Here is a 25,020-nt window from a genome sequence, read left to right on the forward strand (position 1 = left end):
AAGAATTTTGCAGGAGGGACAGAGACTGACTTGGTTCTTACCAGGATTCCTCTGGCTGCTGTGTTGAGTATAGACTCTAAGAGGAAAGAGTGGAAGCAGGCAGAACACTGAGGAGGCTGTTGCAGTGGTCCAGGTGGGAAATGATGGTGCTGACCGTGGAGGTGGTAAGTGGTCAGATTATTCTATTTTATTTACACTCAACACATCTAATACTGACTCAATATTATCTAACATACAGTCCACATTGAAATTGCCCCCCAAATTCTTTTTACATAAAAAAATCATCCTGAATCCAATCAAGTCTCACCTATTGCTTTTGGTTTTCACCTCTTTCATGCTGTCATATTTTAAAAGACTCCAGGCTAGATGTTGTGTAGAATGTCCCACATTCTGAATTCGTTTATTTTTTCAAGTAAGCTTTTTGTGTGTATGTGGCAAGAATACGACAGAGGTAGCAATATGCTTTCCCCACTGCATCATATTAGGAGACACATAACAACAGTCCTGACCCATTATTGGTGGTGCTAAGTTCGATCACTTGGTAAGGGGGTGCCTGCCAGATCTTTCCATTGTAAAGCAAGCTGTTCTTTATTGTAAGTCATAAATACGCTGTGGGATGATACTTCGGGACTAAATATACCCTGAATATACTGCTGCCCAACAACATTTCACCCAGTGACTTTAGCAGCTAAGGAACAGCCTCGTGGCTTCCGACCTTGTGCCTCAGTTCGCTCATCTGAAAAATGAGGATGATCATGGTCCCTACCGGATGCTTGTTTTGAGGATCCGTGCTTGGCATACCAGAAACGCTCCACAAATGTTAGGTATTACTGGACGAAGGCAAATATGAAAAAAATTAAGGGCAGGGCTAGGACTGCATTCCGGTTCTCCGGATCCCGAGGGAGCTCCCAGTCGATGCTGGGCGAAAGCGGCCGCACGAGCCCACGTCGCCACGCCCTCCGCCGCGGAAGCCAGGGTGGGGGTCGCTGGAACCCTAGGCCGGCCGCGCAAGGCCCCCTGGGACCGGTAGTGCTGGGCGTGGCCTCGGGACTACATATCCCAGTGGCCCCCGTGCGGCGACTTTAGCTGCTGCTGTCTCAGCCGCTCCACAGCGACGGCAGCGGCTGCGGCTTAGTCGGTGGCGGCCGGCGGCGGCTGCGGGCTGAGCGGCGAGTTTCCGATTTAAAGCTGAGCTGCGAGGAAAATGGCGGCGGGAGGTGAGTGGAGATAAAGGAGGAGGCGGTGGCGGGCGAGGGGGTGGAGTGCGAGGCGGAGGGAAGAGGGGCGAGTTCCCCAGGCTGCGAGAGCCAGCGGCTTCAGATCTGCCAAGGCACTGAGGGGCGCGCCGGCCGGGGGACGCGCTGAGGTAGTTTCGGGGTGTCGGGGCCGCGCCGCTTCCCCTCAGCCCGGGGGGCGGCCCGCGGCGGTAGGAGCTGAGACGAAGCTGGGTGGCAGTCCGCTTGGGGATCCGAGGGGGTCCCCGCGCGGAGGGGTCACCCGAGGAGTTTGCGGGGGGACTGCAGGGGCCCACTTTCCCCTTCTGTCCCTAAAGTTTTTTCTTCCTCTTGCCTCCCCCAGCCCTTTTGAAAGCTCCCCGCGTCGTCCTCCTGCTGCCCCGGCTCCTTAGCAGCTTCTGGGACGCACGGGAGGGAAAAGCCGCGGGGACCCCCCCCACCCCAGCCTCCCAGCCGGGTGAGATTTGGTTGCTGTGTTTCCTCCTCACTTGGGCATTTAAAAAATATTTTAACACGAATTGTCCGCGGAATTTTCATGTTGGGCTCGGGTAGCTTCTTAGTTTTCTCGGTAAAAAGGCGTTTTACTACCTCTGGTGTGAAGGCTGGGAAATGGCAAGTGGGAAGTTGGTTGATAAAATTAGGAGTTTGGCTGTCTTTATTACTACTTTTTTTTTTTTTTTGCTCTCCCCATCTCTCATTTTATGAACATCGACCCAGTTCGTCATGGTTTAAATAAACTGCTTGTCTTGTACCTGCCTTAACAAAACTAGCCATGGGTCGTTGGGAGACTTAGTTGCTTCCTAGGCAGTTTGAGGGCATCTAGGGTGGAAAAGTTAACCGAGAGAGCGAGCATCTACCTCACTGGCAGGATCTGGGATTCCCAAATGGAATGACACGGAAGCTATGAGATTCTCTCGAAGTCGAAACTTTTTTCCCCCTCCCGAATGCGAAGACTTCCTTTTTGCAATATTTGAGCAGGGCTTCAAAACCAACCTGTTTTTGTTATTAAGCCTGTACGGTAAAGAAACAGGAAGGAGAGTACCAGCTGTCTTGCTGCAGTGGTTTTAAATGGAGTTGAATGAGATGCGTGAGAGTGGTAGTAGTATTGAGTAAGATTGCTGCATCTCTTTGATTTAAATGCCTGGCCTCGGATCCACCTAACTGATCCCTGGCTGCAAAAAAGCTTCAGTATTTGTTGCAGCAGGTTGTTGAGAAGGTGATTGGAGGAATAAAAATCTTAGGTCTTCAGCGAATGCTGCACAAACGAAAATGTTAATGGAAACCTGTAAGTTTGTGAATTGTTTGTTCTTGAAAATATTTTAAATGTATGCTCATTTAGAATATGGTTCTACCGAATGATATCCAATTGGAAAGGTACAAACACATTGAAAAGTGAATCTCTCTTTCACGCCAAACCCTACAGTTTCCCCTTCTCAGAGGCAAAGACTGTTACTGGTTTTTAGAATATCCTTGGTCTTTGGAATAATTATTTTAAGATTTTCATTTGAAACCACTTCTGTTGGATACCAAAAGCAGGGAAATAAAATGAACAGAAGAAACAGAAAATGTGGGAATACTGTTTTTGCTCTCTTAAAAAAAATGTTGATAGCTATTGGAAAAAGCTCTTCAGAACTTACTGCTTATGTCACCTTATCTATTAATACCGTTAAATAACAATCTGTGGGGCTTTAGGATAAAGAACTCTGCCAGGGTTCATTGTTTGTATGTACAATGAATCCTCTGCTTGTAACATGTAAAATGATATTGAACACTATAGCTCCTGTCACTAGAGGTTGCTTCAGGTTCTGCATTTCAATGAGCAGAAATCTAAATTGCCTGTGATCCTAAATTATAGGGGCATTTTATGTATAGATGGAAATGACTTAATTGTCCAATCAGCATTTGAAATAAGAGGCATATACCAGCTTTTGGCATATAGAAGATGGGGATTGTGGACTAAGCGGGAGGCTGTAATATTTCTAGAGCAGTTATAGGAAATATTTCTGCCATAAGATATTTAATTACAAAGGCTTTGAAAATGTACAACTTAAGCATCAATAGCGAGATTTATATTTTTATATTTTAGAATGGTTGTTTTAACAGCTTGCCAACACTAACAATTTGCTAAGGAAATTCAGTGATATTAGAGCTAGGTTATTAAAGATTATATTAAATAATTTAACTGTATTTTGAAAATGATTATGCTGTGCATTTCCTTCTCTGTATAAAAATTATTTCTAAAAAGTGCCACGCACCTCCCGAGCAAATAAAATAGAATTCAGTAAGGAGTGAAGTACTGTTGTACGTGAGACCCTTTTTCTAGGCGATATGCAAATAAAAAGTAGTTTAAAAATGGTTGCTTACTAATGTCTTCTTGACTGGTCTTTTGAAATAAGCTTTCTTGCAGGGACATTACATTAAAGATAAAAGCTAAGTGTGTCTTTTTTTTTTTTTTTTTTTTTTTTTAACGAATTCAGTTCTTTCTGCCGGGCTGCAGTGGCTCAGGCCTGTAATCCCAGCACTTTGGGAAGCCAAGGCTGGTGGATCACGAGGTCAGGAGTTTGAGAACAGCCTGGCAAAGATGGTGAAACCCCTTCACTACTAAAAATACAAAAAATTAGCCGGGCGTGGTGGCGAGCACCTGTAGTTCCAGCTACTCAGGAGGTTGAGGCAGAAGAATGGCTTGAACCCGGGAGGCGGAGGTTGCAGTGAGCCGAGATTGCACCACTGCACTCCAGCCTGGGCAACAGAATGAGACTCTGTTTCAAAAAAAAAAAAAATTCTGTCTTGTGCATTAGCAGTATGATTCTGGAATAATTCATTTTAACTTGGAGTACTGTAATTGAAAAGTCTTTAAAAGAAAATTAAAAAATAAATTTTAGTTTGGACAATAGGGTAAGATTTAAAAACTCTGCTATTGTCCTATCCCAAATTGATGGTTAAAATAAATGGCTTTGGGTTTTTGGTTTTTTTTTTTTTTTTTTTTTTTTTTGCGGGCAGGGGCGTTTTTTTTTTTTCTTTTCTTTCTTTTTTTTTTTTTTTGAGAAGGAAATTTGCTCTGTTGCCCAGGCTGGAGTGCAGCGGCGCGATCTTGGCTCACTGCAACCTCTGCCTCCTGGGTTCAAGCAATTCTCCTGTGTCAGCCTCCCAAGTAGCTGGGATTACAGGTGCGCACCACCACGCCCGGCTATTTTTGTATTTTTAGTAGAGACAAAGTTTACCATGTTGGCCAGGCTGGTCTCGAACTCCCAACCTCAGGTAATCCACCTGCCTTGGCCTCCCAAAGTGCTGGGATTACAGGTGTGAGCCATCACGCCAGCCTGCATTTTTTAAAAACTATATAATTTCACACTTTGGCCAGAGGAGGTAGAGTACTTTTGAAAACTTTTAATTTGTTGCAAGTTTAGAATGCATATTAGCCGCCAGTGACTTTTGGTCTACAACAGCAAATTTGTCACAATTTAATACAGTTGTTACCCTGTAAAGCTATCTAGGATTAGAAAAAAAACAAGACTTGTTGATCATGATTGAAGAGATTACCTGTAGCAGTTTGGTTCATATCCTTGGTATAAATATTTGTTTTTTGCATTACTGAGCGGTTAAAGCTCTGAGAGCAGAAAATTAGTATTGGAAATGTATGTTAACTTTTTCTTATTTTTTTCTCATACTTCAAAAAATTGAAAAACAAGGGGACTATATTGGTTTGGATTCTCAGGAATAGCTTTGAGATTGAGTGCTGCAGTAAAATGTAGGCATTTTCTCCTTTTTTTTTTTTTTTTTTTGAGACAGAGTCTCACTCTGTTGCTCAGGCTGGAGTGCAGTGGCATGATCTCGGCTCACTGCAACCTCTGCCTCCCAGGTTCAAGCGATTCTCGTGCTTCAGCCCCTGCCCGAGTAGCTGGGACTACCGGCGCTCGCCACCATGCCCGGCTAATTTTTGTATTTTTAGTAGAGATGGGGTTTCATCGTGTTGGCCAGGCTGGTCTCGAACTCCTGACCTCAAGTGATCCTCCTGCTTTGGCCTTCCAAAGTGCTGGGGTTACAGGCGTGAGCCACCGCTCCCGGCCCATTTTCTCCCATTTTATGAGTGCTTCTTGGGGTTGGGGAGGGGTTACAAAATAAACACTTCAGAATTAAGGTGGAGGAGGGGCTTTGTGGTAATGAGGCATATTCCATGAGTTTGGTCATGTTTTTACTAGGTAAATTCATTTTGTCTATCATTTTTCTGAGAGGGTTTCTGGGAGAAGATTATTTTAGGTTAAAGATGCAATTTATCCAGAGCCTAACTTTATTTTCAGCCCCCTAACAAATTATGGAATTGAATTTAATTGCCTTTCCCTTTCCTACCTTCTGGTGGAGAGTTTTTAAATGAACAGGAAAATGGCCAGAAAATACACAGCAGGAGTAGGATGGGAGACCTGCAGTGTGTAGAAGGCCGATTTATCCACAAACTGGATAATCTTCTTAGGCTGCATACTGCCAGTACCAAACTTTGTTAGCATTAACTCAGTTTGGTAGGTACTGCCAGCCTAGGTCAGTTTACAGTGGGGGGCAGTAATAGGGTTTATTTAACTAACTGTGTAGTAAACTTTGTGGCCTAAAGGCAAAGGAAAGGAGTCGGACCTGACTGGCAAACAGGTTTTACCCATTTAAAGTAATATTCCAAGAGCAAATGGACTAGTGTCTATTTTGTTTGGCTTTTAAAATATTTTTGTTAGGAACATCTGTGTCTTTTTTTTTAAATTTTCTGTTAATTTTTTTATTGATATGTTCTAGGAAAGGGTGTGACATTTTTCATCTGTTATTCCTATGAAAAGGTATTCTGTTGAAATGTTTAATTTCCTTGGTTAGAGGCTATGAATGAGGGTTATGCAGCTTCACTTTTTGGAAACCAGGGTGACTAGATTACTGAATTTAACTATTGATTAGCCACATAATGATGAAAAGGGAATCTTGGCCTGGGTATCACACAGTAATGGATAATCTGCTTCCTGGGGCTTTGCTTTGGTGGCTATGGCAGCTGAGTTGGCGTGGTAGATGGATAGATGGGAAAGGACTGCAGAAGTCAGCATAATCCTCAATTAGGATAAGCCTTATGGTTAATTGAATGTTGAGTGTACAGGTTAAATCCCATTATAACGAACTCCAGGGGACTGGCCAAATTATTTTGTTGTACTGGGATTAGACTTTATTAAATATTGTTTAAAACAGTCTTTTTGTTAGAGGTGTTAGAGATTTTGGAAAAATTTCCATTTATTGTAACAATTTGACAAGTTGTTCATGAACCTTCCATCTTTAATGCTTTTACCTTTAAAAAGAAAAGAAAGCATGTTGAGCTGGGCAGTGGCAGAGCATGTATATCACCCCTCCACACCATGTTTTGAGTAGCTCTTGGTTTATGTCGACAACCTAATTAGTTTGTTAGTAAGTACTACCACCATCTAAGTGTGGTCAGAAGAATGGGAAATTCCCCAGGTTTGCAGGTGACTGGTGCTGTTAATTTTTTCTGTCCCCAACAACATGTATATATATTTTTAAATTTAACCCTGATCCTTAGAGCACCCAACAACTTTTTGTTGTTGTTGTTGTTGTTGTTTTGAGATGGAGTTTCACTCTTGTTGCCCAGGCTGGAGTGCAATGGCACGATCTTGGCTCACTGTAACCTTTGCCTCCCAGGTTCAAGTGATTCTCCTGCCTCAGCCTCGTGAGTAGCTAGGATTACAGGCATGTGCCACTACACCTGGCTAATTTTGTATTTTTAGTAGAGATGGCGGTTTCTCCATGTGGGTCAGGCTGGTCTCGAATTCCCAGCCTCAGGTGATCTGCCCGCGTCGGCCTCCCAAAGTGCTGGAATTACAGGTGTGAGCCACCACGCCTGGCCAACAACTTTTAAAAAATAAATGAATATACATCATTTTAGTGTGAAATTTAAGTCAGTAATAATTGACTTAGCCCCTTTCTCCTCAGCTATCAATGTAGGTTGAGATTTTTAGGTCTATAAATTGTATTGTTTAAAAAAAAGGGATAGTAATGATGTAGTTTTTAACTTCGTGATACTATCCATATAAATATGAAAATTTTCAGAAACAAGCTTAATTTATATACATATAAGAAAAAGACTGTTCTTATGCTTGGCCAGAAATATACTTCTTTCTGTCCTGTACTTTTATTAGGTTGGTGTTTGCCAAGCTTCAGGCATTTACATCCCACCTTCATATCTAAGGCTAGCATTTTTAGTTTGTTTAGAGAATTTGGATTGGGTGCAGCAAGACATTTTTGAAGTCATTCTTTTAAATAGATGTTCCATGAAGGAGGGAAAATCTGAAAGAAGGAATTTCAAAGCAACCCAAGCAGTGTTTTGAAAATTCTCAAGACTGAAGAATAATGACTGACTAGTAGGCAGGAAGCCTGCAGTTGTATTGTGGTATTGTTCCTCCATCTCATGCATTTGAGAACTTTAGTACAAAAGAAGAGAAAGCATGGGGAGGGGAAGAAAGGGTTTTAACAAAAAAGGGGGCACTTTTGGAGTAAATATTCTTTGCCCTTCTGTTTAAATGAAATCTAAAGCCATATTATTTTACTTTGAAAGAAAATGTGTATCATAATAGAAATGTCCTAAACTGACATTTTTATAAATGAAAGTTAATTGCTGTTGGTGGAAAGAGCAGCATGATCATATGTTCAGTTTCAAAACAGAACTTTGATTAAAAAGAAATCTACATGTGAAAACCTTTTTTTCCTTTTTGGTACCTGATCAATATATTTTGTTAGCTTGTTACTTTGAAAAGAAGACTTACCTAGGGCAGAGTTCAGAATAATTTGTAAGCATGTGCTATAAGCTTTGGACAAATCAATCTCTCTTGGCCAGTTTTTAAAATTTTAAAACAAAGGGTGCTCTGTATGGTTTTCCAAGGTTCCTTATTTTATACAATTCTATAAACTTAAGGCATTATGTAGATATGTACAATGCTCTTTTACTTAAATTTTGTTGATTGAACATAAATGAATTAAGCTCTTTATACCAGATAACCGTGTGAAGTTAGATGCAGCTTTCAGTGCTGACTTATAAAGAATTTAGAGGCTGGGTCCCATGGCTCACACCTGTAATCCCAGCACTTTGAGAGGAGGATCACTTGAGCCCAGGAATTTGAGACCAGCCTGGGCAACAAAGTAAGATCCTGTCTCTATAAAAAATAGGAAAAAAAAATTAGCCGGGCATGGTGATGTGCGCCTGTGGTCCCAGCCGCATGTGAGACTGAGCTGGGAGGATGACTTGAGCCCAGGAGGTTGAGGGTGCAATGAGCTGTGATTGTGCCATTGCACACCAGCCTGAGTGACAGAGTGAGACCCTGTCTCAAAAGGGACTTTAATCGCCTGACTTCATCACAGTATATGCTATAACTGGGTAAAAGTGTGTGTGTGTGAGAGAGAGGGATTTTCAGTCCCCTCCTTCTCGTGTAAGAAAAGCAAGTGTTACTTTCTTTACTCTCAGTGAAATTGCTGTCGTTGAAATGGATTATTTAAGTCATCTTGTGGAGTAGCTATATCAGCTTGAGTTTGTTTCCAGATTGAAATTTGGCAATTTTGGGGCTGAGTGCAGTGGCTCCTGCCTGTAATCCCAGCAATTTGGGAGGCTGAGACCAGAGACTTGCTTGAGCCTAGGAGTTCAAGACCAGCCTGGGCAACATAGCAAGACCCCCCCATCTCTATTAAAAAAATTTGGCAATTTTATTTGAAAATGTTATAAGAGTTACTCAGTACTGTTTATCAAATTGTCCCTTTAGTCTACTACACACTCTGTGTTCCATCCCAGCTCATCTATTTCCTTTTACTTGCTTGGTGGTAATTGTGTTTTATGACAATGTGTTAATCTCAATTGAGGTAGTTGTCTTCACCGCAGTTGGAACAGTAGTTGACTACATATAGGAAAATCTACCAGTGAAGAAACTCCACCAGTGAGAAAAATAACTCTACACATCTTGCATCATTGGAGGGTCAGTGATATCTTTGTCATATAATAAGACAGGACTGTTACCATATTAAGTTTAAAACTACTTTCATCAGGAATCAATAAAATGGAATCCAGAAAGCGACTTTAAACGTACACAGTCATGGCCAGGAGTGGTGGTTCACGCCTGTAATCCCAGCACTTTGGGAGGCCAAGATGAGTGGATCACGAAGTCAGGAATTGGAGACCATCCTGGCCAAGATGGTGAAACTCCGTCTCTACTAAAAATATAAAAAAATTAGCTGGGCATGGTGGCGGGTGCCTGTAATCCCAGCTACTCAGGAGGCTGAGGCAGGAGAATCGTTTGAACCCTGGAGGTAGAGGTTGCCGTGAGCTGAGATCGCGCCACTGCACTCCAGCCTGGGTGACAGAGCAAGACTCCATCTCAAAAAAAAAAAAAAAGTACACGATCATATCTAGAATGGTAGAAGCCTTGAGTGTATGGGTTCTAAGATTTGGCAAACCTGTAAGCATGAACTTGCCCAGTAACCTTCAGTTTCCCTTTTCTTTCCCCCAAATCACAATATAGTCATCCACATGGGACTTTTAAAAATTAATTCAATTTTTGGAGAGGGTCTTGCTCTGTCATCTAGGATGGAGTGTAGTGTCACCATCACAGTTCACTGCAGCCTTGACCTACTGGGCTCAAGCGGTCCTCCCAGCGCAGCCTCCCAGTAGCTGTGACTACAGGCACATGTCACCACTCCTGGCTGATGTTTTTAAGTTTTGTATAGAAGGTGTGTCTTTGGCTGGTCTTGAACTCTTGGGATCAAGCGATCCTTCTGCCTTGGTCTCCCAAAGTGCTGGGATTACAGATGTGAGCCATCGTGCCCAGTATAGTGAGTTTTCTTAAACTTAGTTTTCATACCACTCTTCTAAGTCTTGAGGCCTTAAACTTCAATCATCTTTAATTTGCTGCTGCTTGGTTGTTGTTGCCTACTCTTCCATGCACAGACATACTTAATCAGTGATTATTATGCCTTTACTATTTAAGGAACTGTGAGAGTTAACAAAGTTTGTGACCTCCAAGTGTGCACAATCAATCAGGTACTCATATCACTTCAGTACAAGGCAATCAGTGATAAGTCGGTTTTGCCTATAGAGATTGTAGAGAAGTTCAGAGGAGGCAAGGGACTACTACTGATCCAGGCCATCAGGGTACAGCATGTTGAAGAATAAGATTTAAACATTTTCTTTCTTTCTTTCTTTTTTTTTTTTTGAGATGGGGGTCTCACTGTGTTGCCCAGGCCAGAGTGCAGTGGCATGATCATGGTTCACTGCAGCCTTGACCACCAGGGCTCAAGCGGTTTTCCTGCCTCTGCCTCCCAAGTAGCTGGGACTACACGTGTCCACCACCATGCCTAATTTTTTTTTTTTTTTTTTTTTTGAGACAGAGTCTCTCTTTGTCACCCAGGCTGGAGTGCAGTGGCGTGTTCTTGGCTATATAGATATATAGCTGAGATATGTATCTCTCTCGAGATATATATATATATATATATATATATATATATTTCTTTTTTTTTTTGAGACGGTCTTGCTCTGTCACCCAGGCTAGAATGCACTGGTGCTATCTCAGATCACCGCAACCTCCACCTCCCCGGTTCAAGTGAATCTCCTGCCTCAGCCACCCGAGTAGCTGGGGTTACAGGCAGCACTACCACGTGGACCCAGCTAATTTTTGTATTTTTAGTAGAGACGGGGTTTCACCTTGTTGGCCAGGCTGATCTTGAACTCCTGGCATCATGATCTGCCCGTCTCCAAAATAAAATAAGTGGGAACTATGCTACACATGGACATATTGTGTGGAATAATAGACAAGAGACTAGGAAGGGTGAGGAGGGGGATGATGAGAGATTACTTAATGGGTACAATGTATGTGATTTGAGTAAATGATGCCCTAAAAGTCCTGGCTTCACCACTAGGCAATCTATGCATGTAACAAAATTACACTTGTACCCCATAAATTTATACAAATTAAAAAAAATCAGGCTGGGTGCAGGGGCTCATGCCCATAATATCAATACTTTGAGAGGCTGAGGCAGGAGGACTGCTTAAAGCCGGAAGTTAAAGACTAGGCTGGGCAATATAGTGAGACCCCATCCTATGAAAAAAAAATAGGAAATAATAAAATAATTTTTACAAAAAACAAAATATAAACACAAAAAAAGTTTTTCTTCTAGAAAAAATAACTAATTTACATCTCAATAAGATAAAAACAATCCAACTTAAAAATAGGCAAAAGAGACTGGACCCCGTAGCTCACACCTATAATCCCAGCACTTTGGGAGGCTGAGGCGGGCGGATCGTGAGGTCAAGAGATCGAGACCATCCTGGCCAACATGGTGAGACACCGTCTCTACTGAAAATAAAAAATTAGCCGGGCATGGTGGCACATGCCTGTAGTCCCAGCTACTCGGGAGGTTGAGGCAGGAGAATTGCTTGAACCCGGCAGGCGAAGGTTGCAGTGTGCCGACATAGCGCCACTGCACTCGAACGTGGCAACAGAGTGAGACTCTGTCTCACTAAAAAAAAAAAAAAAAAAAACACAAAAGATATATACAGAGACTTCACAGAAAAAAGGTACACCAGTGGCAAGTAAGTACGAAAAAAGATGCTCAACATCAGCCATTAGGGAAACTGAAAACTACAATGAGATACCACTATACACTCACTATGAGGGGTAACATTAAAAAGACTGACCATACCGTTTGTTGGTAAGGATGTGGAACAACTAGAACTGTATCATACGTGGATACATGGCTAGGAGAAATGTGAAATGGTACAATCACTTTGAGAAACAGTGGGCAGTTTCTTTAAATTTGTAAATATTGGCTGGGTGCAGTGGCTCAAGCCTGTAATCCCAGCACTTTGGAAGGCTGAGGTGGGGGATCACTTGAGATCAGGAGTTTGAGACCAGCCTGGCCAACATGGCAAAACCTGGTCTCTACTAAAAATACAAAAAATTAGCCAGATGTGATGGTGTGTGCCTGTAACCCCAGCTTCTCAGGAGGCTGAGGCATGAGAATAGCTGAGGCATGAGAAGAGCCCAGAAGGCAGAGGTTGCAGTGAGCCGAGATCCCACCACTGCACTCCAGCTGGGGAAACAGAGCAAGACTCTGTCTCAAAAAAATTAAAAAAAATAAAATAAACTTGTAAATATTATACACTTAGCATATAACCCAGCCATTCTACTTCTGGGTTCCCCCCAAGAGAAACACAAGCTTAGGTCCACACACTACCCTATACACAAATACGCAGAGAAGCTGCTTACTTACCATCAAATACATATGAGGATATTTACTTCCAGTTTTGTTTGAAATAATATGAAACTGAATAAATCATGATATAACCATACAATGGAATGCAGTGTAATTATTAGAAATTTCTAAGCAACTATTAGCCGGGCGAGGCGGCTCAAGCCTGTAACCTCAGCACTTTGGGAGGCTGAGGCAAGCAGATCATTCAAGGCCAGGAGTTTGAGACCAGCCTGGCCAACATGGCAAAATGCGGTTTCTACTAAAAATACAAAAATTAGCTGGGCGTGGTGACACACACCTATAATCCCAGCTACTCAGGAGGCTGAAACATGAGACTCACTTGAATCCAGGAGGCAAAGGTTGCAGTGAGCCAAGATCGCGCCACTACACTCCAGCCCGATGGAGCAAGACTCTGTCTCAAAAAAAAAAAAAAAAAAAAAAAAAATTATAAGCAACTGTAAATCAAACTGATATGAATCCTTCCCCAAGATCATTTTTAAAGTATGTACAGTGCAAAGCAGGGCTCTTGAGTGCCAGTTACTTAGGTGTGTTCATTTTATAACAATTTAGCAAGCTGTACTTGTGCCCTTCCATAAATATATTATACATCAATTTAAAGTTTGCCAAAAATATAGGCGAAATGCTTAAACTTAAAAACTTTAAACTATATGCATGTATATGTACCTAGACTAGGGTAACAATGGTTCCAGGGCAGGGAAGGAGGCAGCTAAGAAAGGACGGCCACTGTATACCCTCTGATAACTTTTAAATTGATCTGATGTGTACCTGTAATTTATTTCAAAAAGTATTTTCTTAACTGAGACCATTTGCAACTCTCTTTAAGTCAACATTTTCTTTTTTTTTTCTAGTATCAGAAGATTTTATTTTTTTACTTTTATTTTTTTGAATTTTTTTTTTAATTTATCAACATTTTCTTAATATAGAAATAAAGTAGAGGCAGAGATGGATTTAGGTCCATAACAGTTCTTCATAACCCAATTTCAAATTTTCTACATATCACAACAGTCTCATTCTCACTACTTTTATAACTGAAAAAACAGTATAAATTTCAAAAATAAACTTGTAACAAATCTTTTTTTATTTTTTTTGAGACGGTCTCTGTTGCCCAGGCTGCAGTGCAGTGGTACAATCTTGACTCACTGAAATCTCCACCTCCCAGGTTCAAGCGATTCTCATGTCTCAGCCTCTGGAGTAGCTGGGTGTATAGGCATGTGCCATCATTCCCACCTAATTTTTTTTTTGTATTTTTGGTAGAGATTGGGTTTCACCATGTTGGCCTGGCTGGTCTCAAATTCCTGCCCTCAAGTGATCTGGCCCACCTCGGCCTCCCAAAGTGCTGGGATCACAGGTGTGCTGTTTTTTTGTTTGTTTGTTTTGTTTTGTTTTTTGCTTTTTTTTTTTTTTTTTTTTTGAGACAGAGTCTTGCTCTGTCACCCAGGCTAAAGAGCAGTGGTGCAATCTCAGCTCACTGCAACCTCCGCCTCCAGAGTAGCTGGGATTACAGGTGCCTGCCACTATGCCTGGCTAATTTTTGTATTTTTAGCAGAGACAGAGTTTTGCCATGTTGGCCAGGCTGGTCTTGAACTCGTGACTTTAGGTGATGCACTTGCCTCAGCCTCCCAAAGTGCTGGGATTACAGGCATGAGCCACCACACCCAGCCTCTTGTATTTTAAATAGTGTTTTGTATAAGATTTCATTTGTGTTAAAAAAAAAAAATTCTACAGCAAAAGAGGTTTGAAAAACCGGGACTATGAATGATATAATGTATATTAAGCATTTAACACTGCCCAGGGACAGACACACAAATAGTAACTTTTAATAGCTATATATATATATTTAAAAAAAATTTTTTTTTTTGAGATGGAGTCTCGCTCTGTTGCCCACCTGGAGTGCAGTGGCACGATCTCCGCTCACCACAACCTCCGCCTCCTGAGTTCAAACAATTCTCCTGCCTCAGCCTCCCCAGTAGCTGGGACTACAGGCGCGCACCACCATGCCTGGTTAATTTTGGTATTTTTAGTAGAGATGGGGTTTCACTGTCTTAGTCTTGAACTCCTGATGTCGTGATCCACCCCCCTCGGCCTCCCAAAGTCCAAAGTGCTGGAAATACAGGCATGAGCCACCACACCCGAGCTTTTTCTTTCTTTCTTTTTTTTTTTTTTTTTTCTTTTTTTTAAGACAGGTCACTGGGTCACTCTGTTACCCAGGCTGGGGTACAGTGGCATGATCTCGGCTCACTGCAGTCTGCCTTCTGGGTTTAAGCGATTCTTATGCCTCAGCGTACTGAGTAGCTGGGACTAGAGGCATGCACCACCACTCCCAGCTAATTTTTTATTTTTTAGTAGAGACGGGATTTCACTATGTTGGCTGGTCTTGAACTTCTGGCCTCAAGTGGTCCGCCCACCTCAGCTTCCCAATGTGTTAGGATTACAGGCGTGAGCCACTGCCCTCAGCCTTAATACCAATATTATCATCAATCAATAAGTGGTAGCTTTTCTGTGGTATATCCAGACAATGGCATATTATTCAGTACTAAAAAGAAATGTGCTATCAATTCATGAAGAGATGTGAAGAAAACTTTAAGTTTTCACTTAGTGAAAGAAGCCAATTTGGAAAGGCCACATACTGTGTGATTCTAACTATGTGACATCTTAGAAAAGGCAAAATTTTGGAAACACTAGAAAGATCAGTGGTTGCCAGGAGTTAGTGGGGAGGAAAGAATGAGTAGACAGAGCACAGTACTCAGGGTAGTGAAACTACTCTGTATGATAGATACTATAATGGTAGATACATGTTGTTATAAATTGTTCCAAACTCATAAAATGCACGATACCAGGAGTAAACTCTAATGTGAACTACACACTCTGGATGATAATGATGCCTCAGTGTAGGTACAAATGTATCAAGATGGTGGGGGGATGGTGATAGGGGAGGCTACACATGGGTTTGGGCAGGAGGTATATGGCAAATCTCTGTATCTTCTGTTCAATATTGCTGTGAACCTAAAACGCCTCTAACAAAATAAAGTGTTAAAAAATAAATGGCAGCTTTTATCTTTTCTACCCAGGAATAGGAACTGAAATATAGATCAGGACACAGGGAAGAGAATTTTATTGGAATAAGAGGGTAGAAGACAGAGCAAGGGTCTAGACTATCAAGCAACTGACATATAAATAAGATACACACATAGAATTAGAAAGATGGTGGTTGAAATGAAAATTAATAGTCAGATTATGAAAATCTTTGGGAGCTCCATGTGAAGTTTAGTTTCGAATTTTAGACAATAAAAAACAAAGGTTCCAAGCAGTCAAGCAGGCTGGGTGCAGTGGCTCAAGCCTGTAATCCCAGCACTTTGGGAGGCCGAGGCAGGCATATCATTTGAGGTCAGGAGTTCAAGACTAGCCTGGCCAACATGGTAAAACCCTGTCTCTACAAAAAAGTACAAAAATAAAATTAGCCAGGCATAGTGGCACACACCTGTAGTCCAAGCTGCTCGGGAGGCTGAGGTGGGAAAATTGCTTGAACTGAGGAGGCAGAGATTGAGCCAAGATCACGCCACTGCCCTCTAGCCTGGGCAAGAGTGAGACCCTGTCTTAAAAAAAAAAAAAAAAAAATTTGCTGGGTGCAGTGACTCACATCTATAATCCCAGCACTTTGAGAGGCCTAGACGGATGAATCACTTGAAGTTAGGAGTTTGAGACCAGCCAGCATGGTGAAACCTCATCTCTACTAAAAATACAAAAATTAGCCAGTCGTGGTGGCACATGCCAGTAATCCCAGCTACTCGGGAGGCTGAGGCAGGAGAATTGCTTGAACCTTGGAGGTGGAGGTTGCCATGAGCTGAGATAGCACCACTGCACTCCAGCCTGGGTGACAGCGAGACTCCGTCTCCTCCCCAAAAAAATTACCTTATAATATTTTTTACTATAACGAAACAGTACAGAGTAAAAAGAGATGAGAAAGAGAAGAAACTGAAGCAGCAGTTAATTCCCTTTAGATCTATTCCATCTTCTTCAAGTATTCGCTAATAATCCCAGTTGAAAAGGACTTTTCTTCCTCTGAACTTGTGAACCACCTGCTTATGTTGATGCAATTACATTTTCTTCTTTTTTTCTTTTTTCTTTTTCTTTTTTTTTTTTTTTTTGAGAAGGAGTCTTGCTCTGTCGCCCAGGCTGGAGTGCAGTGGTACGATCTTGGCTCACTACAACCTCTGCCTTCCGGGTTCAAGTGATTCTCCTGCCTCAGCCTCCCTAGTAGCTGGGATTACAGGTGCTCGCTACTACACCTGGCTAATTTTTGTATTTTTAGTAGAGACGGGTTTTTGCCATGTTGGCCAGGCTGTTCTCGAACTCCTAACCTCAGGTGATCTGCCTGCCTCGGCCTCCCAAAGTGCTGAGATTACAGGCGTGAGCCACCACGCCTGGCCAATTACATTTATTTTTCAACTAGATTATAAACTCCTAGATCACAAAGGGATTCTAACAGTCACATTACTTAGCACAATTCTTTGAAAAACAGTGGTACTGAATAAAAACATTTAAATGATGTAAAGAAGGATCGTCCAGTCCTAGGGCAATTTAGAAAACATGGAATGTACTCTAAGGCTGATATGATTTTCCTGGGACAACTCTGTGAGGGAGACACAGGTCCCAAGCAAATCCCTAGGAATATTTAATTTTAACTCCATTTCCAGGTAGAAAAACTGACTCGAGGGTTGAATTCTAAAAACTTTCACATCCAGGCCAGCCATGATGGCTCACACCTGTAATCCTAATACTCTGGGAGGTCGAGGTGGGAGAATTGCTTGAGTCCAGGAGTTCATTACAAGTCTGGGCAACATAGGGAGACCCCGTCTCTGCCAAAAAAAAAAAATTAGCTGGGCATGGTGGTGCGCACCTGTAATCCCAGCCACTCAGGAGACTGAGGTGGGAGGATCGCTTAAGTCCAGGAGTTCCAGGCTGCAATGAGCCATGATTTCACCACTGTACTCCAGCCTGAGAAACAGAGGGAGACCCTGCCTCAAAATAAATAAATTAAATTGGGGGAAAAAAAAAGAAACATAATTGAAAAAAATAATAGAGGATTTTCTTTTTCTGTTTTTTTTTTTTTTTTGAGACAGAGTTTCGCTCTTGTTGCCTGCCCAGGCTGCAGTGCAATGGCATGATCTCGGCTCACTGCAACCTCCACCTCCCGGGTTTTCAAGAGATTCTCCTGCCTCAGCCTCCCGAGTAGCTGGGATTACAGGCATGCACCACTAAGCCTGGCTACTTTTGTATTTTTAGTAGAGATGGGGTTTCACCATGTTGGTCAGGCTCGTCTCGAACTCCTGACCTCAGGTGATCTACCTGCCTCGGCCTCCCAAAATGCTGGGATTACAGGGGTGAGCCACCATGCCTGGCCAATAGAGGATTTTTAAAGCTTATAAAAGGATTACTCCTTACCTTCAAGAAATAGACAATTTGAATCCACGCTACCAATCAAGAAGTACTGACTCACATGCACACGAACAATTAAGATTCATCTAAGAAATGACTGGTGCGGTGGCTCACGCCTGTAACTCCAGCACTTTGTGAGGCCGAGGTGGGTGGATCACTTGAGGTCAGGAGTTTGCAACCAACCTGGCCAACATGGTGAAACCTCATCTCTACTAAAAATACAAAAATTAGGTGGGCGTGGTGACGGGCACCTGTAATCCCAGCTACTCAGGAGGCCGAGGCAGGAGAATCGCTTGAACCTGGGAAGTGGAGGTTGCAGTGAGCCGAGATTGTGCCACTGCACTCCACACTGGGTGACAGAGCGAGACTCCATCTCAAAAAAAAAAAAGAAAAAGCCAGGCACGGTGGGTCACGCCTGTAATCTCAGCACTTTGGGAGGCCGAGGCGGGTGGATCACTTGAGGTCAGAAGATCAAGACCACCCTGGCTAACATGGTGAAATGCTGTCTCTACTAAAAATATGAAAAGCCAGGCGTGGTGGCGTGTGCCTGTAGTCCCAGTTACTCAGGAGGCTGAGGCCGGAGAATTGCTTGAACCTGGGAGGCCGAGACTACAGTGAGTCAAGACTGCACCATTGTACTCCAGCCTGGGTGACAGAGCGAGACTCCATCTCAAAAAAAAAAAATGATATTTTTAGTTTTGGTGTTCTGGTAATTTACCTACATTAGATGGTACCTGAGATGGGCCCAACAACTAGACTAGAAAGCAGTGGAGAAACAAGGGAGAAGATGGAGAAAAAACAGTATGTCTGAAACCAAGGGAAATTAGTCTGAAAGACTGATAAAAAGACGGTGATTAAGAACTGAATATCAGGTTAAGAAATTTGGAGCCAGGCATGGTGGCACACACCTGTAATTCTAGCACTTTGTGAGGCCCACTTGGGAGGATTGCCTGAGACCAGGAGTTCAAGACCAGCTTGGGCAATGTGGCAAAACTCTTGTCTCCACAGAAAATTTTTTTTTTTGAGAGAGTCTCGCTGTGTTGCTCAAGCTGGAGTGCAATGGCACAATCTCGCTCACTGCAACCTCTGCCTCCCAGGTTCAAGAGATTCTCCTGCCTCAGCCTCCCAAGTAGCTGGGACTATATAGATGCCCACCACCACGCCTGGCTAATATTTGTATTTTTAGTAGAACCGGGGTTTCACCATGTTGGTCAGGCTGGTCTCGAACTCCTGACCTTGTGATCCGCCGGCTTCAGCCTCCCAATGTGCTGGGATTACAGGTGTGAGCAACTGTGCCTGGCCAAAAAAAAAAAAAAAAAAAAAAAAAAAAAGGAAGGCTACAGGTTGTCAGTGGCCTCAGTGCTTTCGGGCTACACCCTTGTTTACAGTGACAACAAGGTGGTATTGGAGTGTTACAGGGTCACAGAGAAGACCTTCAATTATCAATTAGAGGTTTTAAATTTAAATTTACCCTGGCTTTTAAAGGAACAGGGTACACTGTTTTCTCTTTACTGCTTCTCTCTCTGACTCTGTCTCTCTCTTTCTCTCTTTGACTCCCTCTTTGTCTCTCTGCCTCTCTCTCTTTCCTCTGCTGGTCTTTCCCTGCCTCTGCCAGCCACTTATGCCGCTGTTCTCCCCTCTCCTTGCCCTTCCCCTAGGGGAGGAACCGGCAGGAGTGGAGCTACTCTTTCTTCCCCTGAGAAGAAAGGAAAGGGGAGTTCTGAATATTTTCCTTACTACCGGAGGTTTGTGTGAGGTTCAACCCCCTGAAATTTGCGGAAGGCTCAACCCCTCAAACCAGTGGTGTCTTGTCTTGGCTTTCCTGGAAGACTCAACCTCTCAAACCAGGGATGTCTTGCCTTGCCTGCCCTGGAAGGCTCAAACCCTCAAATTAGGGATGTCTTGTCTTGCCTTGCCTGCCCTGGAAGGCTCAAACCCTCAAACTAGGGAGTGTCTTGCCTTGCTGCCCTGGAAGGCTGACCTGTTTCCTCCCTTTCCCCCTCTGAAGGTCCTTTGCGCTCACTGAACTTGTGTTGTCCTCTCTGGCTGCTCCCCTGAGGGAGAATTAGGCCCCTCTTAGCGTTGGTGTGCTGGTATAAATCCCACGGCAGGATCTGCCCTAAGCCATATGAGGTAGCTATGGAACGCAGAGGGCACCCACTCACTCTGTCCAGCAGTAGGACTTGTCATCATCTACACGAACAACACCGCAAGTACGGTTGTTTGTGATCATTCACGCACATACACATTTAGCCCTTCAGAATTTGACCACCAAGGAAGTACTCTACCGGCTCCCACGGCTTCTCCTTCCTTGGTGTGTGCACAGAGTCGTCGCCGCAGTATGTGAAGATCTTTTACCTAGGTTGCTGGCCAGTTTCTTTCCGCCTTGCTGAGAGCTCAGCTTATTCGTCGCACTGCGTGGGTCCTGATTTGTCACCCCTGAGGCCGCCACAAGGGGGCGGGGTGCACCTCCTCACAAGAGAGAACCAGAGACCGCCCCCGGAGGGGAATGTAATCACAGGCAAGCCCCCAAATTTGTATAAAGTTTCGGTGCCACAAAAGAAATAGCACTCGAATATAAGATTTTCTTTTTTTTTTTCTCAGCAAGGCAATTTACTCTTATAGAAGGATGCACCTTCACAGATGGAGCAATGGTGAGCGCACACCTGGACAAGGGAGGAGAAGGGGTTCTTATTCCTGACGCACGTGGCCTCTGCTGCTGTGTCGTTCCCCTATTGGCTAGGGTTAGACTGCACAGGCTAAGCTAATTCCGATTGGCTAATTTAAAGAAAGTGTTGGGGTGAGTGGTTTGGCGGGAAAAATGGCTGTGGCAGAGCAGGAAACAGGAATGAGTCAAGATGAACAATGAGTCAGGGTGGAGCAGGTAATCAGAATAAGTCAGAGTGGAACAGGTAATCAAAAAAGGTTGCTCTACAGGGAAGTTAAGTTTAAAAGTAGAAGGCAAAGAATTGAACATACTGACATATTCTTTGAAGAGAAATTTAGAACTCATATCCAACACTCAGGCACCATACCATATAGATTATGGAGGTCTTGAAATCAGATAGAGTAATTCTTCTAACTTTATTCCTTTTCAAGTTGTTTTGGCTATTCTAGGCCCTTTGCATTTCCATATAATTGCTAGAATCAGCTTATTTCTGTGAAATTTCTGTTGAGATTTTGATTGTGATTGCATTGAATCGGTTGATCAATTTGGAGAGAATCAACATCTTAACAGTATTGTGCCTTTGCTTCCATGAACACATTGTATATCTTTTCATTTATTTAGGTCTTATTTAGTTTCCGTTAGCAGTGTTTTGTAGTTACCATTGTACAGATCTTTTTTTTTTTTTTTTTTTTTTTGAGACGGAGTCTTGCTGTCTCCTAGGCTGGAGTGCAGTGGAGCGATCTCGGTTCACTGCAAGCTCCGCCTCACTGGTTCACGCCATTCTCCTGCCTCAGCCTCCGGAGTAGCCGGGACTACAGGTGCCCGCCACCACGCCCGGCTAATTTTTTGTATTTTTAGTAGAGACGGGGTTTCACCATGTTAGCCAGGATGGTCTCGATCTCCTGACCTCGTGATCTGCCCGCGTCGGCAAAGTGCTGGGAGTGCTGGGATTACAGGCGTGAGCCACAGCGCCCGGCCCTTTTTTTTTTTTTTTTTTGTGGTTTTAAGGAGAGAGTTTAATAGGCAGAAAGAAAGGGAGAAGACGGAAGAAGCTCCCCCATACAGAGACAGAAGGAGGGGGGCTCCAAAACCAAAAGAGGAAGTCCCCACCTGCCACAGATACCAGCCAGGTATATATGCAGCGGCTGGAGGAGGCAGTGTTTGATTTGCATAGGGCTCGGGATTGGTTTGACTCAACAAATCATTCGCGTAGCCCGTGAAAAAGCTGACCCTCCCACCCTGGCCTTTTAATATGCAAATGCAGGGGCGCTATGATGTTCTACACACGTGGGGATATGTGGGGGAGGCCATGTTGCCAGGAACTTGTGGGGAAAGGGCAAGAAGGCTGAGGCAATCTCCATGTTTGGGTGGACCCATTTTCTAATGGCCTGCATTTGCATATCAAAGGTTGTTGGCCTGGCTCTAAGAGCTGAGGCTTTACGAGAAACTTTTCCAGAGATGCTTTAAAAAAAAAAAAAACGAGCCCGGCGCGGTGGCTCACCCCTGTAATGCCAGCACTTTGGGAGGCCGAGGTGGGCGGATCACGAGGTCAGGAGATCGAGACCATCCTGGCTAACACAGTGAAACCCCGTCTCTACTAAAAATACAAAAAGCCAGGCGTGGTGGCCTACACCTGTAGTCCCAGCTACTCCGGAGGCTGAGGCAGGAGAATGGCATAAACCCGGGAGGCGGAGCTTGCAGTGAGCCGAGATCGCGCCACTGCACTCCAGGCTGGGCGATAGAGCGAGCCTCCGTCTCAAAACAAAACAAAAAACCACGAAAACTTCCCAAGGACCCCTTTTCCTATAACATTATCCCCTGTGGAGATGCCACACTAACTGTTAGGGGGTTTTGGGCGATGACTCTTTCTGGCTACTTCCTGCTGAAAAGGGGCGTGGAATGGGAAACAGCAGCTAGGGCTCCTTCTGGGGTTGATCCAAGGGTCTTCGGAGGAATGGCTGGCCTGTCCATGTGTGGTTCAGTTTATGGCACCATTTGGAGTTTGATTGCTTCTAGGCGAGAAGAAATATTTCGAGTGATAGTATTAACTATACGGGGTCCAAATATTAGTACAAGACGTATAAGCAAGAGAGTGCTTAGTAAAGGGGTTAACCAATTCCATAAAGAAGACTGGAATTTATTAAAGAGGGGTTGTAGCCACTTGGAGCTGAATCTGGCATTTTCCCTGAGCCTGTCAATAATTTTGATTTTTAAGTACCTGTAGATTTTCCTCTACTTTACTAGAGGTGTTAATCCCAAAGCAGCATGTTTCGTTTAAAACTGCTTTACTAAACCCAATAAAAAGTCCTAGCGGACTCAGCGATAGTGAAACTTTCATGCTTCCTTTTTGTCAACTATTATCCCTGCTATAAGGATAATAATTAAGCAAAATATTACAGCAGTGGAAACTCTCTAATATTTCAGTTAGAAGGTGCTACCATGTATAACCCTATTGCAAATAGTAGAGTGAGGACAGCAATTCCCACAAGTGTGGTATTTTCATAGCCCATGCTAAAGCATTTACCCATAGAAGAACGGTTCCGGTTAACTTCTGAACTTAAAATCGCCTTACTAATTAAGTACCATCTTAATAGGAGCCAGAATAGATGGCTTAAAGGAATGTAGGAACCGAATGGTCATTTTCCTGTCAGTGGGACAATATTGAGACAAAAATTTGTCTACGGAAGACATTTTACTCCTGTTAAAAGCAGAAACTTCCTGTTCCCAGAAGAGGCCTACAGCCTGATTTCTACTAGGTGGCTTAGGAATACCATGTGTTTGCCAGAATGTAGAGAGAGAGAGACATTTATTGAATTACTGCCTGCCGTGATTCACAATCTTTTCTAACATACCTGTTTCCCTGAACTGTAAAGACTCCTGCATGTTAGACACACGGAGAGAGGGTAAGAGACCGAGGATAGAAAGAGAAAGAAAGTTTGGCGACAGGGTAGCTGGAAGAGAGCCTTGAAATTAAAGGACAGATTTAAAGTTGAAATCCATTCCATACCCACCACTCTGATGGTTGAATTTCCTTTCCTGGCCCATGCACCAAAATGATACGGCTCTAATGAGTGGGGGAACACCAGGGTTCTTGGTCCTCATGCCAGTTTAGATAAAATGACTTGGGCACACGTGGAGTGGTTTTAAGGAGCAGAAGGTTTAATAGATAAGAAGTGAAGGGACAAGTGAAGGGAGAAGACAGAAAGAGGAAGCTCCCTGGTACAGAGACAGAGGGAGGGGGCTCCAAAGCCAAAAGAGGAGGTCCCCCCAGTATACAGATCTTATAAAGCTTCTGTCAGATTTATCAGTAAGTTCCATATATATATATTTTTTGAGATGGAGTCTTGCTCTGTTGCCCAGGCTGGAGTGCAGTGGCACAATCTCGGCTCCCTGCAACCTCTGCCTCATTCTCCTGCTGCAGCCTCCCCAGTAGCTGGGATTACAGGCATGTACTACCATGTCCAGCTAATTTTTGTATTTCTATTTTATTTTATTTATTTATTTATTTTTTTCTTTTTTCTTTTTATTGATCATTCTTGGGTGTTTCTCGCAGAGGGGGATTTGGCAGGGTCACAGGACAATAGTGGAGGGAAGGTCAGCAGATAAACAAGTGAACAAAGGTCTCTGGTTTTCCTAGGCAGAGGACCCTGCGGCCTTCCGCAGTGTTTGTGTCCCTGGGTACTTGAGATTAGGGAGTGGTGATGACTCTTAAGGAGCATGCTGCCTTCAAGCATCTGTTTAACAAAGCACATCTTGCACCGCCCTTAATCCATTCAACCCTGAGTGGACACAGCACATGTTTCAGAGAGCACAGGGTTGGGGGTAAGGTCACCGATCAACAGGATCCCAAGGCAGAAGAATTTTTCTTAGTACAGAACAAAATGAAAAGTCTCCCATGTCTACCTCTTTCTACACAGACACGGCAACCATCCGATTTCTCAATCTTTTCCCCACCTTTCCCCCCTTTCTATTCCACAAAACCGCCATTGTCATCATGGCCCGTTCTCAATGAGCTGTTGGGTACACCTCCCAGACGGGGTGGTGGCCGGGCAGAGGGGCTCCTCACTTCCCAATAGGGGCGGCCGGGCAGAGGCGCCCCTCACCTCCTGGACGGGGCGGCTGGCCGGACGGGGGGCTGACCCCCCCCACCTCCCTCCTGGACGGGGCGGCTGGCCGGGCGGGGGGCTGACCCCCCCACCTCCCTCCCGGACGGGGCGGCTGGCCGGACGGGGGGGCTGACCCCCCCCACCTCCCTCCCGGACGGGGCGGCTGGCCGGGCGGGGGGCTGACCCCCCCACCTCCATCCCGGAGGGGGCGGCTGGCCGGGCGGGGGGCTGACCCCCCCCACCTCCCTCCCAGACGGGGCGGCTGGCCGGGCAGAGGGGCTCCTCACTT

The 25,020-nt window shown here is 43.9% G+C and overlaps 1 protein-coding gene across 4 annotated transcripts in view, besides 3 other annotated features; it reads left to right on the forward strand.

The window, feature by feature from the left end:
* Window positions 1-73: a transcriptional cis regulatory region, noted in NCBI's record as "candidate enhancer chr20.2047 targeted for multiplex CRISPR interference". NCBI's record gives its function as "positively regulates SLC13A3 gene expression with high confidence in K562 cells {active_cell/tissue: K562}" and the evidence as "EXISTENCE:mutant phenotype evidence [ECO:0000015][PMID:30612741]".
* Window positions 1,085-25,020, forward strand: part of NCOA3 (nuclear receptor coactivator 3) — a 154,986-nt gene continuing 131,050 nt past the window's right edge. For all 4 annotated transcript variants that reach the window (NM_001174088.2, NM_181659.3, NM_001174087.2 and 1 more), the window contains exon 1: window positions 1,085-1,217. The gene's annotated coding sequence lies outside the window, so the exon portion shown is untranslated. The remainder of the gene's footprint in view (window positions 1,218-25,020) is intronic.
* Window positions 1,325-1,444: a silencer, noted in NCBI's record as "silent region_12980". NCBI's record gives its function as "represses an Ori minimal core promoter by ATAC-STARR-seq in GM12878 lymphoblastoid cells {active_cell/tissue: GM12878}" and the evidence as "EXISTENCE:reporter gene assay evidence [ECO:0000049][PMID:35858748]".
* Window positions 23,217-23,984: an enhancer, noted in NCBI's record as "H3K27ac hESC enhancer chr20:46152763-46153530 (GRCh37/hg19 assembly coordinates)". NCBI's record gives its function as "activates a minimal SCP1, AML or CMV promoter by ChIP-STARR-seq in naive H9 embryonic stem cells {active_cell/tissue: H9 hESC(naive)}" and the evidence as "EXISTENCE:reporter gene assay evidence [ECO:0000049][PMID:30033119]".

This window comes from Homo sapiens, chromosome 20 (genome assembly GCF_000001405.40).
Source record: "Homo sapiens chromosome 20, GRCh38.p14 Primary Assembly".
NCBI classification, from domain to species: domain Eukaryota; kingdom Metazoa; phylum Chordata; class Mammalia; order Primates; family Hominidae; genus Homo; species Homo sapiens.